Below are 26,915 nucleotides of genomic sequence, written 5' to 3' on the forward strand. Positions count from 1 at the left end.
CCAAATTGCTAGATGTGAGCAACTTTCCCGAAGTTTAACTCTCACTCCAGCACTCTGCTGGGCTTGCATGTACTTGCATCACAGCTTTTCCTGCCAACTTCCATCTGCATAATAGTAAACTCTTGACAGACCCCAGGAGCCAGGGACACACCTCCTAGCCCTCTGCACACTATCAGCCAGCGTGGCCACACATCAGCCAAGGCCTTGCTTCCAGTCTCAGACCCTCCCAAGGATGTGGGAGGGCAGAGTGAAAAAGGGAGGCCTTCTTAGGAAATGAGGAGACCCTAGATTCCCTCAACCGACTCATTCCTCAGAGCTGCACCCACGTAGTCTCTTCCTTTGATGAGCACTCACAGCCGGGCTCCTCCCCTGGCACATGGCCAGCTGCCAATATGAAGCAGCAATCTCAGAGTACGAGCTACCCACAGGCAAGAATAGTGCCTCGGCCACCTCCTCTCTCTCGTCCCTCATTCTAGCCCCAGGCACGCTCCAGTCAGAAGCCAAACAGGCAGAAGGCACTCAAGGGATGAACTGAGATCAGCTGGGGCCAGTCTAAACCGGTGACTAAGTAAGCACTGTCTAGAGTACCCCAATGCAGAGCTTTCGACAGGATACAAGGGCCTATCACATGCCACAGACAATGCCTCAGCTAAGCTGTCACCAAGTCTGCCTGCTGAGCTCTCAGAGAACTAGGGTGATCCAGTATGACAGCATCTTTGGGATGAGGCCCCCAGCCAACTCACTCCATCCTTGCTACGTGGCTTCATTGGCTGGGCCACACAGTGGACACTCGGCTGTGTAAGAACAAGGAGGCCCTAAAAGAAAAGAATTCAAAGACCAAACATTCTGTGAGTGGGGAGAAGCAACCAGAGAGACTGGGCGCTGAGGCCCAGAACCACAGTGAGAGGCTGCACCTTGGACACCTCAGGGGCAGTTTAAGTACAAGCCAAAGGAAATCCTAGTTCATTTAACAGAGACTAAATTATGGAACCTAATGTCAGATGAGACACAGGCTGAGAACAAGCAGCAGACCCCAAAAACATCCTATAAATTCTTAGGTGGACAATGGATCTCCACAAAGTCTGGGACATTTAAGAATGCCCCAAGCTACAACGTAACGGACTCCAGCCCTTGCTCCTAGGACAGGATTTCCTACAAGAGGGCTGGGGCTGTGAGGCCCCAGGTAGTCTATTATCAAGAAGCACAAATCTCGGGTGTCACTCTACAGCAAAAGACAACAGTCACAGTCTTGGGAGGGATCCCAATGCTCTCCTGCACCATCTCTCTTTTTTATTTTTTTTTTAAGATGGAGTCTCGCTCTGTCTCCCAGGCTGGAGTGCAGTGGCACGATCTTGGCTCACTGCAACCTCTGCCTCCCAGGTTCAAGCGATTCTCCTGCCTTAGCCTCCCGAGTAGCTGGGACTACAGGCGCGCGCCACCATGCCCGGATAGTTTTTTGTATTCTCCTGCACCATCTTAAAGTCAAATAGAATACAAAGGCCAGGGACCCACCTGGGCTGTCCAGCAATACCTGAGGCAGGAAGTGCCCTGATCCAGGCTCCTGCTGCGAAGGTCAACTGGGCATCTTACACATGCAGGGCACAGTACCAGGCACGTTATCTCACTCCAGGGTCTTGTAGACAGCGTCCGTGGACAGCTATCCCCTACAGTGTTCCTTCCCCATCACCTTGCTTCCACTACAAGGCCATAAGGAATGGCATTGGCCAAGGTCTCTGCTCCCACTCACATAGGCTGTTCCTCTGTCCACGATGCCCTTTTGCCAGCCTTCCTCTGACCACTCCAGCTCATGGGTCACCTCCTCCGGGAAGTCCTCTGGCCGGAGGCAGTCAGTGCTCTACCAAGTACCCACTGCCCGCATTCCCTTCCAGCACAGCGCTCACCACACTGCTCTGGGCCAGGACCTTCCCGCTCTTCCAATCCGCCTGTCCCACTGGGTTAGCAACTGCTTGCGGTTTCTGGCACACAGAAGGGTCCCGTTTGTTGAATTAGTTAACGAATTATCACGGGTCTCCGCAGCTGCCAAGGAAAAACAACGCTGGTTCCACAAGGATGTCTGGGGGAGAAAAGACTTTCTGATCCAATGGCCCATCTAATGGGCTCCAAGCTGGACCCTGCCCGGACAAGACCTAGGACTCCCAGCCCTTGGGAGGGTGCAGAACGGGCTTAGCCAATATGAAGAGGCCCCTCAGGGCCAGGCGGACGCCGCGCCCCCGCTCCCAACAGCCGGCAGCCCGGGGTCAGGCCGCCACTTCCCGGGAGCCTGACAGGGAAGAGCGGCCAAGTTCCCAGCCCCGCCCGACAGCCGAGGGAACTGCACGAAGGGCGCCGCTGACCTCACCACCCTGAGCTCGGGAAGGCTTGCGGGCGGCGGCACAAGAACCCAGACGGGTGCAGAAACAGGGCGGAGGGTGCAGGGTGGCGGCCCGGACTGCGCTGCTGGCGGCTAGCGGCGCGACCCCCGGCCCCGGATCCGGCCCCGGCCCCTAACTCTCAGCCCCGCGCGGGCAGAACGCACCGCCTGGCGACCCCAGCCCGCGCCCCAGCGCTAAGGTTGATCTGGCGGCTGAGCGGGCGGGGCGCTCACCTGGACACTCGCAGCTCCCGGCGTTTCCAGAACCTCCCGCGGCGTCGCCCGGTCAGCTCGGCGCCTCCTCCCTTGGCGACTCCGCCTCGGGCCGCTGCCGGGGCTCCGCCCACTTGAGCCGCCGCCACGTCCCCACCTCACGCTCCACACGCCTGCCTGCGTCCTGGTCCCCAGCTCCGGTGGCTCCGCCGGGGTTCGCCGTCCTCTGCGACCCCTGGGAACGCCCAGGCTACCCGGCCTCGCGGGAGCCGGAGCCGGAGCCGGAGCCGGAGCTGGCCGCCCGCGCCCTTCATGCCGCCCGCAGCCCACCGCACGTACTCCGCGCCCGCCTGGCTTTGGCGCCCCCACCTGCGGGCCTTGGCCCGCCCTCCTGCCCAGCCCCTGGGCGTCTGGAGAGGTCGCCACGACCCGATCCCCTCGCCGGGGCTGTAGGGAGAGCGTCCCTGGAGGCTGACGGATTTCCCTGCCTGCGCTCATGCCCATTGCCTGGGGGGCCCTGCCGGGTACACGGGCCCCTTCTTCCCAGCACCACCACAAGGAGGCTGTTACGGGAGGCTGGGGTCACCCCGGCTAGGAACTGGGTATCAGGAGAGGAGGCAGAACAGTGGAGAAGACCCTGAGGAAGACTAGGGACCTGGGGCCCACCCCCTGGAGACCGAGATTGGGAGGCCCATTCCCAGGGCCGAGCTCTCAGTGGGTTTCAGAGAGTCCCGGGCTCTGGTCCAGGCAGTCCTGGTGGCATGTGCAGGGGTGATGGATTGATGAGAAGGGGGCCCATCAAAGGCTGGGTGGGGGCGGAGGCGGGGGGGCGGTAACAACCTGGGGCACACTGGGTTGCCCAAACCCTTCTTTATGCCATGGGCCAAAAAGAGTGGACACCTGGTTCAGCCAATCCAGTCTGGAAGGGAATAAGGACAGAGATGCAGCAAACCTCAGCCTGAGCGGGAGGAGGCCCTGGCGGCCAGGCAGGTTCCCACGCCTGCTCTGTGAACCTTCCTCTCATGAATGAGGGGAAGCACGGTCTGAGAATCTCATCAGGGAGCAAGCCCAGAGCGGGAGATGCCCAGCCTCCGCCCAGGCCCAGTGTGGATATTCCCTACGGCACACGGGCCAGGCAGGCGGCCCAGACCTGGGGAAAGCAGGAGCACGCACACGGAAATACACATAAAACATGGGTGAGCCATTGTTCCTGCCTGCGTCAGCCACCGGCTCGAGCCCGGCTAAAACTACACAAACCCTCCTGCATCTGCTACATCCACAGAAGCTTCCTTCCATCTCCTCCCCCTTCTCAGGAGTTTGCCCCATGGAACATCCCTTTTCTCTCCTGAAGGCTCAACTACCCGCTCTCAACTGGATCTTTCCCATTGGCCTGTAAATGTGTTCAAGCCTCTACTATGGGAACAAAACCCTCATTCGACCCCACTGAGTGTCTCTGTTCTCAACCGCAGCGGAATTTCTTGAAAGAGCTGTCTCCCCATCCTCACATCTCTCCCACTCTTCAGGCCCTAAAGGAGCTGTCTCTCCCACTCTTCAGGCCCTGCAGTCAGCCTTCTAGCTCCCTAACAGCACCAAACCAGGTCTCAATAAACTGTAGCCTCCAATCTCCAATTTCAACGGCTGTTCTTCAGACCTCATCTGCCAGGGCCCTGAGCAGTGTCTGACACCCAGCGATGACCACAGCCCCTCTGGAACACTGATTTCCCTTGGTTTCCCCTCATCCTTTCTGGCCACCTCTGCTCAAGCTTCTTCAGCATCCTCTCCCTATTAGTAAAGGTTGGGGGTTCCTCAAAACTCAGGTCTAGGCTTTCCACTTCACGCTTCTCTTTACACGCAGGTGACACAAATTTCTCTCTTTACCCTTATCCTTACTGCTGAACCCCAGATTCATGTAACTCACTGTTCAGTGTACATCCCCACTTGAGTGTCCACAGGCACCTCAATGGCAACATGTCCAACACAGAGTTATTGTTCTCCCCCTACATCTTCCCCCTCCACACATCCTGTCTTCACTGCTGTACTGAAGGAGATACTTCCCATCAGTTACCTAACCAGAAGCCTGGGAGTCATACTTGGCAGCTCCCTCTCCCTCATCCCCAGACCCTATTTACCTATATCCCAAGTCTGTTCAATTTTACCCCTAAATCTCCCTCTAATCCACCCACTTCTCTCCATCTTTTTCACATGAGTGATGGCAACACTTTCCTGACTGGCTGCTCCTCCATTTTTGTTCCCTCTCATCTCTCCTTCACTACAACCATGATGATCTCAAAATGCAGATCTGAGCCCATTACTTGCAGCTGGGAAATTGCCCTGATCTTGAGAAACATCAAAAAGTGGTTTATAAGGTTCCACATGGTTTGGCCTCTGCTCACTTCTGTAACCACATCGAACTTCCTCCAGTCTCTCTAACTGGCCATTCCCCCTCCCCACCCCAGACCTTTATACATGCTGTTCCTTCTGTCTAGAAAAAATTTTTCCCTCCCTGATTAAAACCTTCAGAATCCTTCAGATTCCCTCAGAGGCAGAGAGATTTTCCTTACTTCCCTGAGTAGGTCAAAACCTCCCATAACAGACCAGGCACGGTGGCTCATGCCTGTAATCCCAGCACTTTGGAAGGCTGAGGCGGACGGATCACCTGAGGTCAGGAGTTCGAGACCAGCATGGCCGACATGGTGAAACCCCGTCTCTACAACAATACAAAAATTAGCTGGGCATGGCCAGGCACGGTGGCTCACGCCTGTAATCCCAGCATTTTGGGAGGCCGAGGCGGGTGGATCACGAGTTCAGGAGATCAAGACCATCCTGGCTAACATGATGAAACCCCGTCTCTACTAAAAATACAAAAAATTAGCCGGGTGTGATGGCGCATGCCTGTAGTCCCAGCTATTCAGGAGGCTGAGGCAGGAGAATCGCATGAACCCGGGAGGCAGAGCTTGCAGTGAGCCACGCATGATGGCGGTGTCTGTAATCCCAGCTACTAGGGAGGCTGAGGTGGGAGAATCACTTGAACCCAGGAGGCAGAGGTTGCCGTAAGCCAAGATCGTGCCATTGCACTCCAGCCTGGGTGACAAGAGCAAGACTGTCTCAAAAAAAAAAAAAAAAAAACCACACACACAAAACCTCCCATAACAGCTTCTCATGTCCCCGTGTGCTTCGTAACACTTGCCACCGTTGATAGAATTGAATGATCGCTTGGGTAACGTCTTCCCCGACTGGCCTGGGAGGTCTGGGAGTACATAAACCATGCATGCATTTGTCCATTGCCATTTTCCCACCACCGAACTGGGCTCAATATTTGCTAACTCCTTGAATGGACGGATATCTCCTCAATACCTTGCTCCACACTGTAAGATTTAGTCTCCAAAGGCATGAGTAAGACCTCCGCAGGGTCTTGGAGTCCTGGCAGCTCAGGACCACAGCATTGGTCAGATATCCTCCTAAAAAATCTGCAGCCTTGAGAAGGGGCAGGACTTCTGAGGATCATGTCTCCTTGGTCTTCCTGCCTTGCAGGAAGTGGCCATTCATTTGTTTTTATATTCCTTTTCCTCTACCTGCCTCCACCCAGAAGATACCATTTCTGACCTCTGCCTTTGTAGCCTCACTTTCACCACTCAGCCCTTAACATAAGGCCCTCAGACTCCATCTGGGCTCCTGATCTATTCATTTCCTGGGGTTGCCACAACAAATTACCACGAACTAGGTGCCTTAAGTCAACAGAATTTTATTCTCTCACAGTTCTGGAGGCCAGAAGTCCAAAATCAAAATGTTACCGGGGTGTGCTCCCTCTGAAGGCTCTAGGGGCGAACCCCTCCTTGCCTCTTCCAGCTCCTGGTGGCTTAGGAGTTCCTTGGCTTGTGGCTGTATCACACGAATCTCTGCCCCATCTTCACCTGCACTTCTCCTCGGTGTCTGCATCTTCTGCCCTTCTGTTTCTTATAAAAATAACTGTCATTGGCTGTAGCGTCTACCCAGGTAATCCAGGGCAGATTGGGAGGTCTACCCAGGTAATCCAGGGAGGTTTGGCACTGAAGCCTCCCTGAATGCTGATGACTCTTGCAGGCCCTGGAACCACTGCAACAGCTCCCTTAATAACCTGTAACTTAATAATATCTGTAAGGTCCATTTTTCCAAATAAGGTCACATTCACAGGATCCAGGTAGTAGGACATGAATGCAATTTGGTGGGGTTGGGGGGCACCATTTAATCCACTACATTTGACATTCCTCCATGCCCTCAAAGGCTTCTGGACCCATGTAAATCTATCACTCAGTTTTGAATCTCCAGCCTGGGTCCACTCCAGACCCACATCGTCACAGCCTTTTCTTTATGACCACTTGATAAGTGAACTCATTGTCTCATGTAGGGTCCCCCAGGTTCCCTCACTTTTTTCTCTCTCCTGACAAATACCAAATGCCTTGACCACTCTATGACCCAGACAGCCGAAGGTTTTTTCCTGTAGGCTTGAGCCCAAGCTGGGGCCTTAAACATTCCCAGGCACTGATAAAGGTGTTTAGATGGTCGCCCGAAACACTGAAAGAAACTAGCCCCGACCCTGAGCCAAATTCCTTAAAATCTCATATAAATTCCATACCCAGACCCCCCTTGCAGCAGGCATACCTAGATAGAACATCCCTGTCTCGCTGTCTGCCTACAGGATGTACTGCAGCCCCCTCAGAGACCGAGAAATTTCCCTAATAAATGCTTTGGACTGATCACCCTGGCATTTAGTGCTACTTTCTTTGGAATCCCAACCATTTCAGGATGGTTTGGGGTAGTCCCGTATGGGGACCCCCCTGCCACTGCTTTTGGGGCATCTCCAGCTGCAGGTTCAGCCAGGATGAAACATCTCCCCCATACCACAGCCCACACCACCCAAACTGCTTCTGCCCCAGCATTTCCTACATCTCAGCAAATATCACCATCTCCCAGTCACTTCCCTTTTCTTTCCCACTGCATGCCCACCCTGGAGATCTTACCTGGTGGATCTCTCTCAGTTCACTTACTTCTTCCCAACCCTGCTGTCGCAGACCAAATTCAGGACACCACCATCTCTCACTTGGACAATCCATCTTAGCCCACTTTTCTACTCCGCTCCCTCTATCCTTACTCCATTACACAGGGCAGAGTGACATTGTAACCATGTGATTCCCATCATGTTATTTCCGTATAGAACCTCTCAAAGGTATTCCATGGACCCAAGGGTAGACACAAATCTTGCCAATGCTGCCAATCCCTTTTATCCAGCCCTGATGGTCTCTCTTCTTATGCACAGCCTCAAACTTGATGCTGCAGCCACTCCAGGCACTTTTCAGTTCCCTGGCCTTTGAATGTGTTATTCCTCCTGCCTAGAACATTCTCTTCCCAAAAGGTGGTTTCTTTCAAAAGGCTTTCTGGGTCTAGCCTGAGCCAGATCCTGCCATAGGCCCCAAAGCTCCTCATGGATGAGTTTCACACATGCTACCTGACCTCATTCAATGTCTACTTCATTTACCATTTGGCCCTCCTGGGGACTGCCTCTAACCTGTTCATCACTGTGTCTCCAGCTCTAGCATAGGGTCTGGCGCCCAGAGCCTAGAGAGGAATTGGTGAACAAAAATACATGAATGAATGAGTGGACATTCCCACTATTGTGGCCTCTAGCAGACCTCATTGAGTACACCCAGTGTGTGTCACTTAATGAATCCACAACCATCTTTAACAGCCACACATCACAGCATGTTATAGAGATTCACATCCCTTCTCCCCAAATCCATTGTATGAACAAGGCCATACCTCCCTTCTGGAACAGCTCTATGGTGTTCATTTATGTGTTCACTCAACAAACATTTGCTGATCACCAGTTGAGGTCAAGGCGGGGGATTCAGGGACCACACATATCAAAGGGGCTCTGTCTAGTATAAAAACTAGTAGATAAGCAGAGGCCCGCCCAGCAACTTTGTCTAGGGAGGGAAAAGCCCAAGCCTTTCCAGCTGGGAAAGGCTACTAGTAGGAGGTACTGCCTACCTAGACCCAGTCTTAGAGACCCTTCCTAGGCTCAAGATCAGGCATGGCCTATGACCTTTCACCCCAGCATGGCCAGGGCATTGCCAAATGAGGCTCTACCTCCATGCTGTCCCTAGGCAATATCCCTGGCCAATGGCTCCTTGAAGCAGTCTGGACTTGTCTGCCTGCCATCCCCACCCCGAAGGAAGAACCTGGTGTTTCCCCAGAAGGGATAGTAAAAACATCTGTGCTGGGCGGACAGGAAATTGGATGAATAGGAGGGTGGATGTGGCATAGCCCTTAACTCTAAACAGGGGCCTACTCAGCCTGCCCTGCCCCAGCCTCCTCCACTCCTACTCACCTGTGATCCCTGTTTTGGGGAAGGGGAGTGGGGCAAGCTCCACTGCTTGGCACTGAAGTCTCCCTGAATGCTGATGACTCTTGCAGGCCCTGGAACCACTGCAGCAGCTGGAGGTGTGGTCAGGGTTTACGACTATCTGGCCTTCCATGGAATTTCCCAGAGCAAGGCCCTCAGGTTCAACCAATGCCACACAGAGGGCATTGTATATGTGGATACACATCTGTATTCTTCGGTACATTCCGCATGCAGCTGTCCACTGGAGCTCAACCCACCCTAGGTTTCTCCCCTTAGAGACTGAGGAAAGACCGAGTGTGTCTCAGTTGGCTGGCGCTTTGACTCAAGGCCAAACACAGACAGCAAGACTTGTGGCTTGAGTGGGGCTACCTAGTAGTAGCCCTACTGCTTCTGAAATAGGGCCTATCCAGTAGTCTGGTCTTATAGCCTGGTGGTTGACCCTGGAAAAGGGAAAGATAATCTGGCAGAATCCCCAGAAGCCTGTGGGGACAGGCTGGGCAGGACCAAGTGTGTCCCTAGAGAGTGCCCCCCTAATCCCTGAACCCATCTGGTGGGTGCAAAAACCAAAGCAGGCTACAACTCTCCTACCATTTGCCTCCCCCATGGACCCCTGCAACCCAAGACAAGCAGAGTCAGCAATCAGGCTGAGTTGTCATTACAGGCATGCCAAGACCTTCAGGAACTGCAATTACACAGCAAGTCCAGGGCAGGCCCCCCATGGTGTAAAGAGTGAGTTTACACTACAACTTTCCTCCTCACTTCACCTCCATCCTGGGCGAGAGGCTCTGGACTAGTGCAAATGTCCAGAGGGCAGGAGTTAGCTAGGCATGGTGCTTGAAATCTGATATTTTGATGTATATACTGTAAAGCACACTTTTAGAATTATTATTACAGTCCAGCAGCCACTCGTCCTTCCTTCCCCAGTCCTGACCCTATATTGGGGCTGGGTGGGGATTAGGGATAGGTGATAAGGTGAGGGTTAAGGATAGCTATTGGGCATCTGATGTAGCTACTATCTAAAAGGCTGAAAGTTGAGTGTTTTTAATGTTTTTTTCAGGCCTTGTTAAAATGTCAGGAAGCCAGTAGAGATTAGTCCTATAAAAAGTTTAATAAAGCTAATAAATGTTAAGTGAGATCATAGAGGTGAAGCCTTACTTGAATACGACTGGTGTCCTTATAAGAAGAGGAGAGACAAGAGAGTTGTATCTCTCCACATTTGCACAAAGATGAGGCCATGTGAGGACATAGCAAGAAGGTGACCATCTACAAGCCAGGAAGACAGGCCTCATCAGGTACCCGCCCTGATGACACCTCAATCTTGGACTTCTGGCCTCCAGAACTACGAGAAAATGAATTTCTATCGTTTAAGCCACTCAGGCTGTGATATTTTGTTATGGCAGCCTTAGCACACTAATACATCTCCCCAGTTTATTGTCACAAGCCTCCAAGGCCAAACCCTGGAAGCTCTTGATTGGGGAACAATGGTGGAGCAGACAGTAGGGGAGTAATAAGAGGTAAAGCTGCAGAGATCCCAGGGACAGATCACCTGAGGCCTCATGGACCACAAAAAAGGATTTGGATGTGAGGCTGAAGACAAGGAGCAGACACCCCAGAGCAAAGGCAGGGGAGAAGCAGGATAAGATTTGGGATTTGGGAAAAACACCCTTTCTACTGTGGGTGAGTGGGGGAGAAGGAGGAGCAGAGCTTGGCTGAGGCGGGGTGACAGCTGATGGTGACCTGAACTGGGAACTGCCAATGAATAGAGAGAGAAGTGGATAGTTAAGAATTGGTGACGTAAAGTAGGAAGGGCTATGTTCCTTTGCTCATTCATTTATTCTGTAAATATTTGTTGAATGCTCTGCCCCCCATTCTGAGCTCCCTTTTAGGGATGAGGTCCTACTTGTCATCCAAGCCCCCTCAGCCCTGTTACCCTAGAGCAGCCCTTGCTAAAGGAAATTAGTGGCAGCCCCCAGAAAGTACAAGAACAGAGAGTGAAAATTGGCTGCCTCCAGAGAACACGCCAGCACTCTTCTGGGTTTCAGGCTGACATGGAATCCTAATCACAGTGTCTGGCTTCCTCAAATACGAGACTCCTTTCATTGCGAGGTAACCACACATTTAATGACAGTTTCAGCACAAACTCTCCTGGTGCCACCCTTCCTCTCCTTTTTTCTTTCTTTCTTTTTTTTTTTTTTGAGACTCACTCACTTTTTTTTTGAGACTCACTTTTTTTTTTGGGTCTCACTCTCTCCAGGCTGAAGTGCAGTGTACGAACACAGGCTGGAGTTCAGAGGCTCACTGCAGCCTCAGCCTCCCAGGCTCAAGCAATCTTCCTACCTCAGCCTCTCTGGTGGGACCACAGGTACACGCTACCACACGTGGCCAATTTTTTATTTATTTTTATAGAGACGAGGTCTCGCCATGTTGCCCAGGCTGCCTCTCTCTATTTTTAAATGAATGTACTTCACTTTGCTATAATGAAACTTGTTTGTAAGGCACCTTATATCCTTTCAGGAGCAAGACTGGTGTCCATGAATCTATCCATGAGTGATCCTAGCCCAATCAAACATTGCTCAATTGGTGCACTGCACAATGATGTCTCCATTTACATGGCAGCCATCATAGATGTGCATAGTCATTACAATAAGTTTTCAGTAGATGGAAATAAAGTGAATTGAAAAGGGAGTATCTTTTGCTAATTAAAAAAAAAAATTGGCCAGACGCGATGGCTCACAGCTGTAATTCCAGCACTTTGGGAGGCCAAGGTGGGTGGATCATGAGGTCAGGAGTTCAAGACCGAGACCAGCCTGGCCAACATGGCGAAACCTCATCTCTACTAAAAATACAAAAATTAGGTGGGCATGGTGGTGCATGCCTGTAGTCCCAGCTGCTCGGGAGGCTGAGGCAGAAGAATCGCTTGAACCCAGGAGGCAGAACCTGCAGTGAGCCAAGATCACGCCACTGCGTTCCAGCCTGGGTGACAAAGCAAGACTCCGTCTCAAAAAAAAAAAAAAAAAATCACCACATGAGCTGTCAGTGGCTAGCCCTAATCCCAGTCTGCTACCACATAATCACAAAAGCCTGAATCACTGGTGTGGCTGAGGCCTGCTCACTCCTGTCTCAAGGACCCTAAACCCTCCTGTGGCCTCTTTCCTGCCCTCAACTGCCCTGCTAGTGTCAGCTCCAGTTGCAGCTCTGATCTCCCCTTCCCTTCAGTAGACACCAGCATTTGAACTTGCTAGTCAGCCCTGCCTTGTGGCCCTGCAGTACACTGCCCTGGGACTCTTACCCACCACAAGGAGGCCAGGGCACTCATTCCTCCAAAGGTCCTGACTACCTCATTCCACATCAAACCTATTCCACACACCCACATCCCACATAAATACATTTTAAACTTGACCACACAAGAACATGGCTGAACTTCAGTTGACTATGACTATGACATACTGTTAACATTTACTATATTTAGTATTTACATTTTTTATAGCTTTCTATATTTTTTTCATGTTTCAAACATTTGCATAAACCTGTGAGAAGCTTGATAATCCCTGAGCTTCTAGTGCCTGAAAAACAGAGCAACTTGGCCATAGCCTCTAGTAAGAGGGCTCTCACCCACAAACACACACACATACGCACACACACACACACATTTATATGCTCACGCACAGAGGGATTCACATGCATACGCAAGCGTGTGGATCTGGCCTTTCACATGAGAAGGAGGAGGTTCTGTCCTTTGTCCTCTGGCTCTGCCCTTAATCTTGACTCTGAACCAGAGCCTGATATTGACTTTGGACCAGGCTCTGGCCTTATTACTTACTCTGACCCTGAACCAGCTAGTTGCAGACTTGGAATCAGGAAGATGTCTACCTCTATCATCTGTAGAAATCAGAGCCCATGGGAGAAGGGATGGCTTGGACAGTACATCTTCTTGGCTGAAGAGTGAATGATCAAGGTGGTGAAGGTGGAAAGATGGCTTCCTCAAACTGGCTGGGTCGTTAGATGCTGTCATTGGTGGCTGCAATTTTGGGGGCAAGTACTGCCCTCTCACCCCAGTGGTCACCCAACAGCTGTAGGCCAGGTTGACACCAGTGGTCACCCAACAGCTGTAGGCCAGGTTGACACCCTGCCCTCATCAAGTTCTGGAATTTTCTCTGCACTCTCTCCTGGGGCACCAACAGCTATTTTTGTCCCAGGGCAAAGGTGTGTGAGGCCTTCTGGGAGAATCTTTTTAGGGGAGCTGCTTCCTTCTTGTCCAGAGCTGTAGTTGCAAAAATGAGGTTGGCCACCAGAGGGTGCATGGAGCTCAACAGGGCTCACTCAAAGGAGCAGCCCCAGCCTTGCTCAAAAAGCCCCTCCACTTGGTGCCCCATCCTTCCAACCTGCCAAGGTTTAGCTGAGACCTGTGACTAGGCCTGCATAATCATGAGCAACGGGAAGGGAGAGATGTTTTCCAGGCCCTGGGGAATGACTCCAATGCTGGGACCTCCACTGGCTGAGGAGGCAGGGAGGATATTGGGAAGACCCCAGATCCTTTCCTCAGCCCATAGTGATCAGGGGCCTTCATGGTCAGCTAAGTTGACTTGTAGCCTTGGGAAGCCTCAGGCTGTGGAAGCCTCAGGCCATAGGAGCCAGTAGCCCTAAGGAAACACCAAGGACTAGTAATGCAGTGAAGTTAGGAAAGGAGATGGGGAGACCTTGAACTCTGAACATACCCAGAATATCCTGGCTCTGTGGAGAGGAGCTCCTGGAGGAGAAGAGCCAGAGAAGCAGGATGGGCAGTCCTCATCTGGGTTTCTATGATGCTCTGGGATGCTTCTGTGATTGGACAACTAATTTATGGAGCACTCTCCCTGTACCAAGTGTTACCTAACACTTGACAGATGTCATCTGCTTACCCTTCCAGATCTCCTCTCCTGTCTCCTCTTTCCCCTGCTCTGCGCCCTGACTGCTGACCTATATGGATAGCATCAACAGGTTCACCTGCCCTGCAGCTTCTGGTTGGGTTCAACCAATGGGGAGTAGCAGGAAAAGATCAGTAGGGAAGAGGAGATGGACTTTGAGGAAGCTGTCTGCAGCCTAGACATGAAGGCCTGGCTCTATGACCTGTCAAGCCTCAGCACTGCCTTTGAAGGAGAAGACCAGCTGCCTTGGTCATGCTGAAGTGTGGCAAGCAGGGTTTCCATACTTGGTCACTCAGCCTAGGGCTTCAGGAACCCTCTACACCCTCACTTACTCACATTCAGTCAGTCAACAGACATCCCCTGACACCTCCCTTGTGTCCAGTCCTGGGTACCCAGGGACACAGAGATGAGTCAGAAAAACACCCTGCCTGCATGGAGCTCATGTTGTTTTTTGTTTGTTTGTTTGTTTGTTTTGTTTTATGGGGGGAGAGGAGGCACAGATGAAGAAATTGACGGTGAATCGCAGAGGCTGAGGGAGACTACAGAAGGGGAGACTCACTTGCCGAGTGGTCAGGTAGGAGGATGAGGTGTGGGTCTCCCTGCATAGTCAGCCAGGGGAAGTGTTGGAGGTCTGGGAGAATGGTATTGCAGCAGAGGAGATAGAATGAGCAAAGCCTGGGAGAGGGAATGGCTCATTCCCACGGAGACCTACGGTGGCCAGGCAGGGCCTCATCCCTCTCTGGGCCTTGCTGTGTTTAGGAAGTAGAGGGAAGTGCCTAATGAGAGAGTATACACCCCACCACCATTGGGACTGGGCTGGGGGTATCAACAGTAAACAGCATCTCTCCCCAGTGGTGACAAACACAGATGATACTTCCAGCAGAGCAGAGGCCTCCCAGAGCCATGGACAGCAGAAGTAGCAATGGGTGGCAGGGCAGAGCTGTCAGTCTGGCTCAGAGGCAGAGGATTGTTGCAGAACACACTGAGGTGACCCCCAGGAAATGCTCTGAGATCAGTGGGGTGGAGGGGGCCAAATTGACATGGGTGTAAAAAGTAAATCAGCTCCTTCTGTGGATTGAATTGCATAGCCTCAAAATTCATATGTTGAAGCCCTTACCTAAATGTGACTGCATTTGGAGATAAGACCTATAAAAAGGTTAATAAAGCTGATAAAGGCTAAGTGAGGTCGCAGGGGTGAAGACTTACTTGAATAGGACTGGTGTCCTTGTAAGAAGAGGAAGAGACAAGAGAGTTGTATCTCTCCACATTTGCACAAAGATGAGGCCATGTGAGGACATAGCAAGAAGGTGGCCATCTATCTACAGGCCAGGAAGAGAGGCCTCACCAGGAACCCACCCTGATGACACCTTAATCTTGAACTTCCGGCCTCCAGAACTATGAGAAAATGAATTTCTATTGTTTAAGCCACTCAGGCTGTGATATTTTGTTATGGCAGCCTTAGCACACTAATGCATCTCCCCAGTTTATTGTCACAAGCCCCCAAGGCCAAACACACAGGTCACCCTGGAAGCCCTCTTTGATTTGGGGAACCAATAGTGGCATGCAGAGAGAGGAAGAAGGAATGCATGAATGGGTTCCATGTGTGACCTGCAATTGGTATGCCCTGCTCCATAAACTAGGGGTGCGAATATGAGCCCATCTTCTATACACTGGAAAGCTATTAATAGTATCTCCCTCTTCGGGCCTCACGAATCCCCACTAGCAGGGGTAGAGAGGCATGGGCAGCCAGTGTGCTTTTGTTTAAAAACTTACTTATTAAGATACAGTTAACATACAGTAAACTAAACATGTCTGAATATACAGCTCAATGTGTTTTGCTTACATATAAATTCACATAATTACCTCCCACATAAAAATATAGACTATTTCCAGAATACCAGAGGGCTTCCATGTACCTTTTCATAGTCAGTAAACTCTCCCAAAGTTAAGCACTATTTTTTCTTTGTTCACTTTTGATTAGTTTTGTCAGATTTTGAACTTTATAAAAGTGAAGTTATACAATATATATTCTTTCGGGTCGGCTTCTTATACTCCACATTATGGTTGTGATATCCATCTATCTTGTTTGTAATAGTTCCTCATTCTTTTTCATTGCTATGTGGTATTCCATTGTTTGAATATAACACAATTTATCCATTTTTGTTGATGAACATTGGGTTGTTTTTAGTCATGTTAAATAAAACTGTTTTGTATATGTTTGCACATGTCTTTTGGTGGGCACAAGCACTTATTTAAATATAATAAAAATCCAGGAGTGAAATTCCTAGGTCATAAGACATGCATATATTGAGCTATTGTAGATATTACCATTTTTCTAAATGGATGAACAAAATTACATTCCCAATGGCAATGAATGAGAGTTCCAGTTGCTTCATATCTTTGTCAACATTTGTTATTGTTAGCTTTTCCAATTTCAGTCATTTTGGTGGGTGTGTAGCAATATCTCATTGCAATTTAAAAGAACATTTCCCTGGTGATATTGAGCATCTTTTTAGGTGTTTATTAGTTATTTCTTGTGACATGACTGTTCAAGTCCTTGTCCATTTTCCTATTGGGATTTCTGCATTTTCCTCACTGAATTGTAGAAGTCTATATATTTTCTCCATATGAGTTTGTTGTTGGATATATGTATTGCAAATATTCCCTCTCAATCTGTGCTTTGGCTTGTTCATTCTCCTAATAGGATCTTTTGATAAATAAAAGTTCTTAATTCTTACAAATCCAACATATTAATCTTTTATATTTTGGCTAGTGCTTTCTATGTCCCATTTAAGAAATGTTTCCCTACCCAGAGGTCATGAAACTATGCTTCCATGGTTTCCTTTAGAAGCTTGATTGTTTCATAGTTCAGTCTATGATCCATCTTAAATTAATTTTATGTGTGGTACAATGAGGAATCAAGGTTCAAATGGCACCGGACAGGTAGAGGTCACATTTACATAATAAAAGATTAAGGTGGGATGGCCAATTTCTTCTCGGGCTATGTAACCATTTACACCTGGTCAAACCAATCCCCTGGCCCCTGTGTAAATCAAACACCGCCTCCTCAAGCCTCTCTATAAAATGGATCGCATCCCACCTGCCCTGTATGAGAAAGCTCACTCTCTCTTCTTTTTTGTCTATTAAACTTTCCCCTCCTTAACCTGCTTCACGTGTGTGTGTCTGTGTTGTTAATCTTCTCAGTGCAAGACGAACCTAGGGTATTTCCCCAGACAATGAAGCCACTTCAATACCACAGAAATACAAAAGATTATTCAAGGCTACTATGAAGACCTTACATGCATAAACTAGAAAACCTAGAGGAGATGGTTAAGTTCCTGGAAATATACAACCCTCCTAGATTAAACTAGGAAGATATAGAATCTCTCAACAGACCGATAACAAGCAGTGAGATTTAAATGGTAATTTTAAAAATTGCTGGCTGGGCACGGTGGCTCACGCCTATAATCCTAGCACTTTGGGAAGCCAAGGTGGGCGGATTGCCTGAGCTCAGGAGTTCGAGACCAGCCTGGGCAACATGGTGAAACCCCGTCTCTACTAAAATACAAAAGAAATTCGCTGGGCATGGTGGCGGGCGCCTATAGTCCCAGCTACTCGGGAGGCTGAGGCAGGAGAATTGCTTGAACCTGGGAGGCGGAGGTTGCAGCGAGCCAAGGTCATACCACTGCACTCCAGCCTGGGTGACAGAGCGAGACTCCATCTCTTAAAAAAAAAAAAAAAAAAAAAATTGCCAACAACAACAAAAAATCCATGACCAGGTGGATTCACTGTTGAATTCTATCAGACATTCAAAGAAGAACTGCTACCATCCCTATTGACACTATTCCTTTCAAATCCTGTATCATGTTTTTGATTTATTTAAGTAGGACTTCACTTTTCTCTGGTACCTCCTTGATTAATTTAATAATCGACCTTCTGAATTCTTTTTCTGGCAATTCAGAGATTTTGTCTTGGTTTGGATCCATTGCTGGTGAGCTGGTATGATCTTTTGGGGGTGTTAAAGAACCTTGTTTTGTCATATTACTGGAATTGTTTTTCTGGTTCTTTCTCATTTAGGTAGACTATGTCAGAGGGCAGGTCTGGAATTCAAGGGCTGTTGTTTAGATTATTTTGTCCCATGGGGTGTTCCCTTGATGTGGTGTTCTCCCCCTTCCCCTAGGAATGGGGCTTCCTGAGAGCTGAACTGTAGTGATTGTTTTTGCTCTTCTGGGTCTAGCCACCTAGCTGAGCTACTGGGCTACAGGCTGGTACTGGGGAGTGTCTGCAGAGTCCTGTGATATGATCCATCTTCAGGTATTGCAGCCATGGATACCAGCACCTGCTCCTGTGGAGGTAGCAGGGGAGTGAAATGGACTCTGTGAGGGTACTTGGTTTTGTGTTGGTTGGCCTCCATGCAGGAGGTGGTGCTTTCAAGAGCACATCTGCTGCAGTCCTATAAGGAGAATGCAAATTTGCCCTAGGGACACCTGGTTAAGACGGTGGGCAGGGCCATAGAGCTCCCAAGAGATTATGACCTTTGTCTTTGGCTACCAGGGTGGGTAGAGAAAGACCATCAGGTGGGGGCAGGGATATGCATTTCAGAGCTCAGCCTCTCTTTGGCCAGGGCTTGCTGCAGCTGCTGTGGGGGATAGGGGTGTTGTTCCCAGTCCGATGGAGTTATACTCCCGGGGGTGATTGTGGCTGCCTCTGCTGAGTCATACAGGTTTGCCAGGGAAGTGGGAGAAAGCTGGCAGTCACAGGCCTCACCCTGCTCCTGTGCAACCCACAGTCCTAAAGGCCAATCTCACTCCCACCATGGCCCCACAACAGTACTGAGTCTATTTCCAGGTAGCCAGTGCCCAGGGCTGAGAACTTGTCCCAGACCATGACCCTCCCTGCTGAGAAAACATGCAGACTCACAGTTTTTTTGCATCTCGAGGAGCCTGCAGTAGTGATCCAGTTCCTTCAAAGGGTCTGTGGATTCTCTTGGCTTTCCTGGTATGTTCCTGCAGTAGTTCTTGGAGCAAAAGTTCAGGATGTGAGTCTCCACACACTGCTCTGTTTGTCTGAGCAGGAGCTGCAAGCTAGTCCTGCCTCCTATCTGCTATCTTTATCAGTATTCTGGCAATTCTATATTTAAATTCTCTAGCTTTTCATCTTTTTTTTTTTTTACTTTCCCTCTATTTTCTTGAACATTTTCATCATAATTATTGGAAGTCTCTCATTTCTGAAACACCTGTGGGTCTATTTCCATTGTCTGCCTTTTCTCTTGATTTTTAGTCATTTGGCCCTGTTTTTTTGTTTGTGTTTTGTTTTGTTTTTTAGCATGTCTCATACTTCTCTATTAGATGACACACATTTTGGATGAAAAGTTGGAAAGTCTCTGGGTGATGTTGTATTCATCCAGGAAGAGAGAATTAAGTTGACTTCTGGAAGGCAGAGTACCAAATAAATACCCTACTCCTGTCAAGGCTTTGGTTTATGTCATGGTTTGGCTGGTGTGGTTCTTTTTTGTCCTAGGACATATCTCTTATTCCTAGGATGTGACCCTCTCTCCTAGTGTGTGACCCTTCTGGGACTTAGCAGAACACCTACGCATTTACCAAGGCCTCTCTACCTTGATAGAAGTTGAATTCCAATTTGTCTCCCCAACACTTTAAGACTACTACAATTTGCTCAGTTCTTTAGCCTGATAGGCTAAAAGTAGGCCAATAGGGTGGGCATGGTGATTCATGCCTGTAATCCCAACACTTTAGGAGACCCAGGCTGGAGTATTGCTTGAGCCCAGGAGTTCAAGCCCAGCCTGGGCAACATAGTGAGACCTCATCTCCACAAAAAAATAAGCAAAGTCAGCCAGGCATGATTGCATGTGCCTGTAGTCCCAGCTACTTGGGAGGCTGACGTGGAAGGATGGCTTGAATCCAGGAGGTTGAGGGAGGCTGCAGTGAGCCAAGATCACACCACTACACTCCAGCCTGGGCAACAAAGCAAGACCCTGTCTCAAAAAAAAGCCAATAAAGTTGGAGGAATTTGCATGCAATTATTGGGCTCCTTCTCTCTTCTTTCCTACCTTCTGGAATTTTCCTTCTTAATTTCCATCTTCTTCGGCAGCCCTGAACTCTGACCTTTGTATCCTCAGTCTGGTAAGACTGATGCTTTCTGCTTGGTCCCTATTCCCTCAAGTAACAATGTGTGAAATGCCCCTAGGGAAAAAGCAAAGGTAAATGTGGAACTCACTACACATTATTCCCTTTTCTCCAGGATCACAACTCCTCAATTCTTAGCTGTATTGGTTGTTCTCAAATGCCTTCAAATAGTTGTTTTATACATTTTGTCCAACTTTTATAGTTGTTTTCAGCAGAAGGATAAGTCTGACACAACCTGCTATAGTGGCCAGAACTGTACATTTTATTCAGTCCAATTCTGATGCCAGGTTAGAAAGAACTACAGCAGGGTATGCTCAACTGGCCCAGCTGCTTTGAGATGAAGCTCAGACTCTTAGACATTTATGACATCAGATCCACATCTTGAATTAAGGGTCCCTATTTTCTTTTCCTTTTCTTTCTTCTTTTAGTTTTCAAACTTTCCTTAGGTTCCAACCATAACTGATAAGTTGGTAATAAACTTCCCTCCCCACTGTAAACAACCATAAAACTCGAAATATTTATAGCCAGTGATTATAGGCATTGAACATCAAATAGCCTTTGTCCTTGAGAGAAGGGAAACAAAAGGGAAAGTGCTTTGCCTAGGATACTTTCCAAACCATGGCATAAGGAAGTGGTGCCCAGAAAGCAATGGCACCAGGCACAGTGGCTCATGTCTGTAATCCTAGCACTTTGGGAGGCTGAGGTGGGAGGATCCCTTGAGGCCAGGAGTTTGAGACCAGCTTGGGCAACATAGCAATACCCTGTCTCTACAAAAGTTAAAAAATTAGCCAGGCATTGTGGTGCACACTTGTAGTACCAGTTACTCCAGAGGCTTAGGCAGAAGGATCACTTGAGGCCAGGAGGTTGAGGCTGCAGTGAGCCATAATCGTGCCACTGCATTCCAGCCTGGGCAACAGAGTGAGACCCTGTCTCCAAAGAGAGAGAGAGAGAGAGAACAATGGTCTCATCATGTGAAGGAGACAAAGATCATAGATAGCAGACGCTGAGGTGGCTGAAATTTGTGGGATAAGGTATCAAAGAAGAAGGAGCTACACAAAGAAGGAGCTCTGGAAAGCTATACAGAGGTGCTCCTGAGGCTTTGTCTAAGCCTCACATGCAGAGCAAGATTCCATAAGGCCTAGTGGATTAAAAACAACAACCAAACAAACAAACAAACAAAAAACACACAAAAAAAACTTCTCTGGGTCTAAGAACTAAGTGGGGATTCTAGAGGGCTCATGATTCTGAGATCTGTTCTGATCAACAAGGTGAAAAGACTTTGTTGAACACCCTGAGCACTCAATGAAAACCCAAGAAAGTCCACGCTTTAAGAATAGGGCTACTCTGTGCCTGTAATACGCAGTATCTTAGACCTGCCATAATAAAGCCTAAAACCAAGCCTCAGGCTCAAATTGAGCCTCTAGTGAATTTACTATCTAATAAAACAAACTCAACACTCTTTAAACATGATCCAAACTCTTAACAATGAAGTATTCACAATTCCTAATATACAGTCAAACATTACTAAACATATGAAGAAGCAGGAAAATATGATTCATAACCAGGACAAAAAATAATCAACAGAAATAGATCCAGAGGTAACACAGATATTGGAACTAGCAGATGAGGACTTTAAATAGCTATTATAAATATGTTAAAGAAGTTTAAATTACAAGATAGAGATAATAAATGAACAGATGAGCTATCTCAGCAGAGAAATGAAAACTATAAAAAAGGAGCTGAATGAAAATTCTAGAATTGAAAAATACAATATACAAAATGGAAAATGTACTAGATAAACTTATGAGTAGACTGGATGCTACAAATGAAAAGATCAATGAACTTGAAGTCAAGACTATGGAAAACATCTAAAAGTAAAAGGACTGAAAAATACAAACACAGCCTCAACAAAGTGACCTTGAAACAGTATCATGTAATCTAATATATACATAAAATTGGAGTCCCAGAAGGAAAGGGGAGAAAGAGATTGGGGCAAAAAAAATTCTTTTAAATGGTAAATGAAATTCTATATTTGATTTAAAAAATTATTAATACACCATCCCAAGAAGCTGGGGTTTTAAAACTCCAAAGAAGATAAAAACAAGGGAACTACATCTAGGAACATCATAGTCAAAATCTTAAAACCAAATAGAACATCTTAGAAGTGATAAAAGAATATAGGCACATTACATAAGGGAAACAACGATTAGAATCACCATTTATTTCTTAGCAGGAGTAATGCAAGACAGAAAACAATAAAATTATAGGAATTATATATTAAATATTAAATAATCTATGAGAAAAAAAAGCAACCTAGTATTCTATATCCAGAGAAGTTATCTTTAAAAGAGGAATGAGAGGCTGGGCACGGTGGCTCACACCTGTAATCTCAGCCCTTTGGGAGCCTGAGGCGGATGGAACAGCTGAGGTCAGGAGTTCCAGACAAGTCTGGCCAACATGACAAAACCCCGTCTCTACTAAAAATACAAAAATTAGCTGGGCGTGGTGGCAGGTGTCTGTAATCCCAGCTACTAGGGAGGCTGAGGCATGAAAATCACCTGAACTCGGGAGTCAGAGGTTGTAGTGAGCCAAGATCGTGCCACTGCACTCCAGCCTGGGGGATAGAGCAAGGCTCTGTCTCCAAAAAAAAAAAAAAAAAAAACAAAAAAAGGTTGGGGGACAGGGTGGGGAATGAAAAATAAAAATACTTCGGGATCTTAAAAAAATGCTGACAGAATTCATCACCAGTCCGTCTGTACTACCGGAAATGTTAAAGGAAGTTCTTTTTTTTCTTTCTTTTTTTTTTTTCCAGAGACGGAGTCTCACTCTGTTTCCTAGGCTGGAGTGCAGTGGTGCGATCTCAGCTCACTGCAACCTCTGCCTCCTGGGTTCAAGCGATTCTCTTGCCCCAGCCACCTGAGTAGCTGGGGCTACAGGCGCACGCCACCATGCCCGGCTAATTTTTTGTATTTTAGTAGAGACAGGGTTTCACTGTTGTTGCCTAGGCTGGTCTGGAACTCCTGAGCTCAGGCAATCCGTCTGTCTCGGCTTCCCAAAGTGCTAGAATTACAGGCATGAGCCACCGCACATGGCCTAAAGGAAGTTCTTAAGGCTGAAGGGAAATAAGCCATTTCTCTGCTGAGGTGGCTCATTGATACCTGTTGGAAATTCAGCTCTAAACAAAAGAACAAGTGCTACCAGTAAACCTAACAAGTAAATAGAAAATAGGTTTTCTTGTTTTTTAAATTACTTAAAAGACAGTTGACTGTTTAAAGCAAAAATAATGAGTATTTATTATGGAGTTTATAGCAAATACAGAGGTAAACGCACAACAACATTAGCAAAAAAGAAGGGAGAAGTAAATGGAAGTGTATTATTGTAAGGTTCTTACATAAGAAGCAGTATTTGTCCTTCTGTTGTCTTTATTTTCCTTTTTATTATCTTCATTTTTCTAATTACAAACAGTAAAATTTATTTATATGAAATTAAAACACTGTACAAATATATAACTCAGAAAAAGTAAATGTCCCAAAATACCATCCCCAGAAACAAAAACTACCAACAGTTTGCAGCATATTTCTCTGATTTTTGAAATCTATATGTAACAGGAAAACATATTTCAAGTATTTATCTTCACGAAAGAGATGTTTCTCACCTCAAGTCTTAGTCTGCTTCAAGTTACTATAACAGAATACCAATAGCTGAGTAATTTATAAAGAAAAGAAATTTATTTCTCAAAATTCTGGAAGCTGAGAAGTCCAATATCAAGGTGCCAGCATCTTTCAAGGGCCTTCTTGCTGCATTATTCCATGGCAGAAGGCTAGAGGGTGAGAGAGACAAAGGGGGACCGAGCTCCTCCTTCACAAGGACACATTCCCACAATAACAAACCCACCTCTGTTGGCATTAATCCATTGGGGGCAGAGCCCTCATGACCTTATCACCTCGTAAGAGCCCACCTCTCAACACTGTTGCATTGTAGATTAAGTTTCCAACACATGAACTCTGGGGGACACATTCAAACCGTAGCACCATGATTATAAAAATATTAATCTATATATTTTTTTACCAGTCATTTCTGGTAAAGCATATGAGTAGTTTATAAAAGCATTCACATTGGGAAAATTAAAATATATAGATCATGAATCCATTTGGGATTTACTTTATAATGTGGGAAATTATATAGCATATAGAATTATAGCCTTATTTTTTATGCATAATAGTAAATGGCCCCAACATGAGTTATTGAGTAAACTACCTTTTATTCCCTGAATTAAAATGTTTTCTTTATCTCATGCTATGGACTCTCTTTTGTTCCACTAACATATTCGTCTTTTCCTATGCTGCTATCACATTCTTAATTATTTTAGCTCTATTGCATACTTTGATACTTATAGGGCAAATCTTACTTTATTAGTCTCTTAATCCAATATTTGTGGGTTTTTTTCATACTTACTTTTCAGTTGATCCTTAGAATCATCTTGTCAATTCCTCCCACCCAAACAAATTTTGTTTGGAATTGCATTGAATTTACTAATAAATTAAAAATATTGATTTTTCTAGAAACATGACATATGCCTGCATACCTTTTGTCTTCTTTTAAATCTATCCTAGATCAAAGTTCATAGGCCCTTTGTTCTCACCACCACTAGGATAAGAAAAAGGAAATAAAAAAGAAAAAAGTTTATAGGCTTTTGATGTACTCAAAATTCATTTCTAGATATTTTTAATGTTTCACCATTATCGTGAATGGTAAATTGTTTTCATCACATTTTCCAATCAGTTGTGACTTAGCACTCTTAAAAGCTATTAAAATCTATATACATATATTAATTTATTCTACTCTGCTCCCTCCTACTGGATTCTCCTACTGGTCATAATCATTTTTCAATTGATTCTCTTGGATATTATGAAAGGAAAATCATAATATCTGCAAATAATGATCATTTTGACTCTATTACTTACTTCCTTTACTTCTCCCTTATTTCTTCTTTTCACCCTATTGTCCTGGTTAGGACTTCCAGAGCAACACTGAACAACAGTAGTGAAGAGGACATTGGATTCTCCCATTAATAGAACTTCCTAGACTGTTAAATCTAATGCTGGCTTTTGGTTTTTTATATCTGTTCTTTAAAATGTTAAGAACATTTCCTCTCTTCATGGTTTTCTAACTTTTATCGTGTGAATGGCTGATGAATTTTGTCAATGCCTTTTGAGATAATTACAAGATTCCTTTCTTCTTTTAATCTAATGTATTAATCATTACGTTTTATATTAAATCAAGCTTGTAATTTGAAAAAGAATCCCCAAGGTGGTAATAGTGTTTCAATATATTATGGGAGCCAATTTGCTATATTGACAATTTACAGGGGGCCACCATTTTCTTAAAGGGGATATATTGGTGTTAGGATAACAGATCTTCACAAGGATTGTGGAAGCTCTCCATCTCTCTCTGGCTCTGGAACACCATGGTTCTCTGAGGGAGAATGCTTGTGCACCCTCTCTGGGCCAACAATGCTTCATGCTTGAATGCCCAATGTCACAGCTCTCCGCAGTCAGCTTGTCTTAATCCTACACACAGCTACTTCTCAGGGACTGCTGGTCCTAGAGCCTTAGGTGGGGCCTTTTCCAACACTGTGTGCACTTCAAGCCCAGATCCGCCATTTTCTCTTCATCTTCCCTGGGATGAGACAGCTTCTTGTTTAACTCTCCACACATAGAAGTTCTCATTATACATTCTCTTAGAGCTCCTGGTTTCTCCTGCAGGAGAGGCACAGACTCCGTTGTTCCTAAGCAAGCCTATCTTCCCATTAATATGGTGATTTCACAGGGGGCAAACAATTTGATCAGGCATCCTCTTGCTGGAAGCTCAAGTCCTGTGAATGCTCTTACCATTGCGGGTGGGTATGAGAGATGCAGGGTGTGAGGATTTCAGTCCCACTCCCAATGAAAGCTCTGCCTCCAACTCCACACTGCTGATCCTGAATCTACACAGCTATGGACCTAGTCTTGGGAGGGGAAGTGAGAAAGAATTTTGATTTTCTTAGAAGCCAAGAAAATAGCCACCCAGGACATGAGGCTGACTCATGGGCCCTGCTCCAATCCATTCTCTCAAGAGCCTCCAGCAACCTCAGCCCAGCTTCACCCTCACAGGCCTGGATCTGGCTCTTCCGACTTTAATCCCTATGGCCCCCTGCACCTGGATTCCCAGACCTCTCGGCCAGCTGGCAGCTACTGGACTCGGCGACATGGCTCTGCCTGACTCTCCCAGCAACACAGGCGGCCAGGCTCATACCCAGTGGCCACAGCTGGCGTCCTATGGCCAGGCCTGGAGGTGAGGTCAGCCTGAACAGTCCCCGCCAGCCTGTGACTCAGTCACCACTGGGCAGTGCTGGGCACCACGGGGCAGGGCACTTCACCAAGACCAATCAGTGACTAAAGGAGCTGGCACTGCAGGGGAGAGGGCCAATCGTAAGAGATAGAAAGGATGGGGCAGGGAGGATAGGCTAGCGACAGGCCTATGCTAGCCAGACTCCTGAGGAGAGCTTCACCACCTCTGCCAATCTGAATCACAGCCCCCAGGACCCCTCAGGATCAAGAGACAGAGGTCTAATCTATACCAGTGAGAAAATCATGGGCATCAGGAGTTATGGGGGTCCCTCCTGAGACGAAGAACCAGGAAGACTGGAATTTAAATCTTTGAAGTTATTTCCAAATGAGGCTATCCATTTTAAATATGTATTATAAAGACTTAAGGCCTGGCACAGTGGCTCATGCCTGTAATCCCAGCATTTTGGGAGGCCAAGGTGGTTGGATTGCTTGAGCCCAGGAGTTTGAGACCAGCCTGGACAACATAGTGAGACCCCGTCTCTTTTTAAAAGATAATAACAATAAATAAATAAG

At 47.2% G+C, this 26,915-nt stretch overlaps 1 protein-coding gene across 9 annotated transcripts in view, besides 4 other annotated features; it reads right to left on the reverse strand.

Moving 5' to 3' along the window:
• The window catches only part of P4HA2 (prolyl 4-hydroxylase subunit alpha 2), a 37,707-nt gene extending 35,038 nt beyond the window's left edge, over positions 1-2,669 (reverse strand). For 3 of the 9 annotated variants that reach the window (NM_001365681.2, NM_001365677.2, NM_001017974.2), the window contains exon 1: positions 2,606-2,669. The gene's annotated coding sequence lies outside the window, so the exon portion shown is untranslated. Of the gene's footprint in view, positions 1-1,512; positions 2,075-2,605 lie in introns of those variants that run through there. The other 6 variants (NM_001142599.2, NM_001142598.2, NM_001365680.2 and 3 more) reach the window with 5 other exon arrangements.
• Positions 2,386-2,645: a silencer, noted in NCBI's record as "silent region_16312". NCBI's record gives its function as "represses an Ori minimal core promoter by ATAC-STARR-seq in GM12878 lymphoblastoid cells {active_cell/tissue: GM12878}" and the evidence as "EXISTENCE:reporter gene assay evidence [ECO:0000049][PMID:35858748]".
• Positions 2,786-3,015: a silencer, noted in NCBI's record as "silent region_16313". NCBI's record gives its function as "represses an Ori minimal core promoter by ATAC-STARR-seq in GM12878 lymphoblastoid cells {active_cell/tissue: GM12878}" and the evidence as "EXISTENCE:reporter gene assay evidence [ECO:0000049][PMID:35858748]".
• Positions 25,808-26,309: an enhancer, noted in NCBI's record as "H3K4me1 hESC enhancer chr5:131586685-131587186 (GRCh37/hg19 assembly coordinates)". NCBI's record gives its function as "activates a minimal SCP1, AML or CMV promoter by ChIP-STARR-seq in primed H9 embryonic stem cells {active_cell/tissue: H9 hESC(primed)}" and the evidence as "EXISTENCE:reporter gene assay evidence [ECO:0000049][PMID:30033119]".
• Positions 26,310-26,809: an enhancer, noted in NCBI's record as "H3K4me1 hESC enhancer chr5:131587187-131587686 (GRCh37/hg19 assembly coordinates)". NCBI's record gives its function as "activates a minimal SCP1, AML or CMV promoter by ChIP-STARR-seq in primed H9 embryonic stem cells {active_cell/tissue: H9 hESC(primed)}" and the evidence as "EXISTENCE:reporter gene assay evidence [ECO:0000049][PMID:30033119]".

Source organism: Homo sapiens, chromosome 5, assembly GCF_000001405.40.
Source record: "Homo sapiens chromosome 5, GRCh38.p14 Primary Assembly".
NCBI classification, from domain to species: Eukaryota; Metazoa; Chordata; class Mammalia; order Primates; family Hominidae; genus Homo; species Homo sapiens.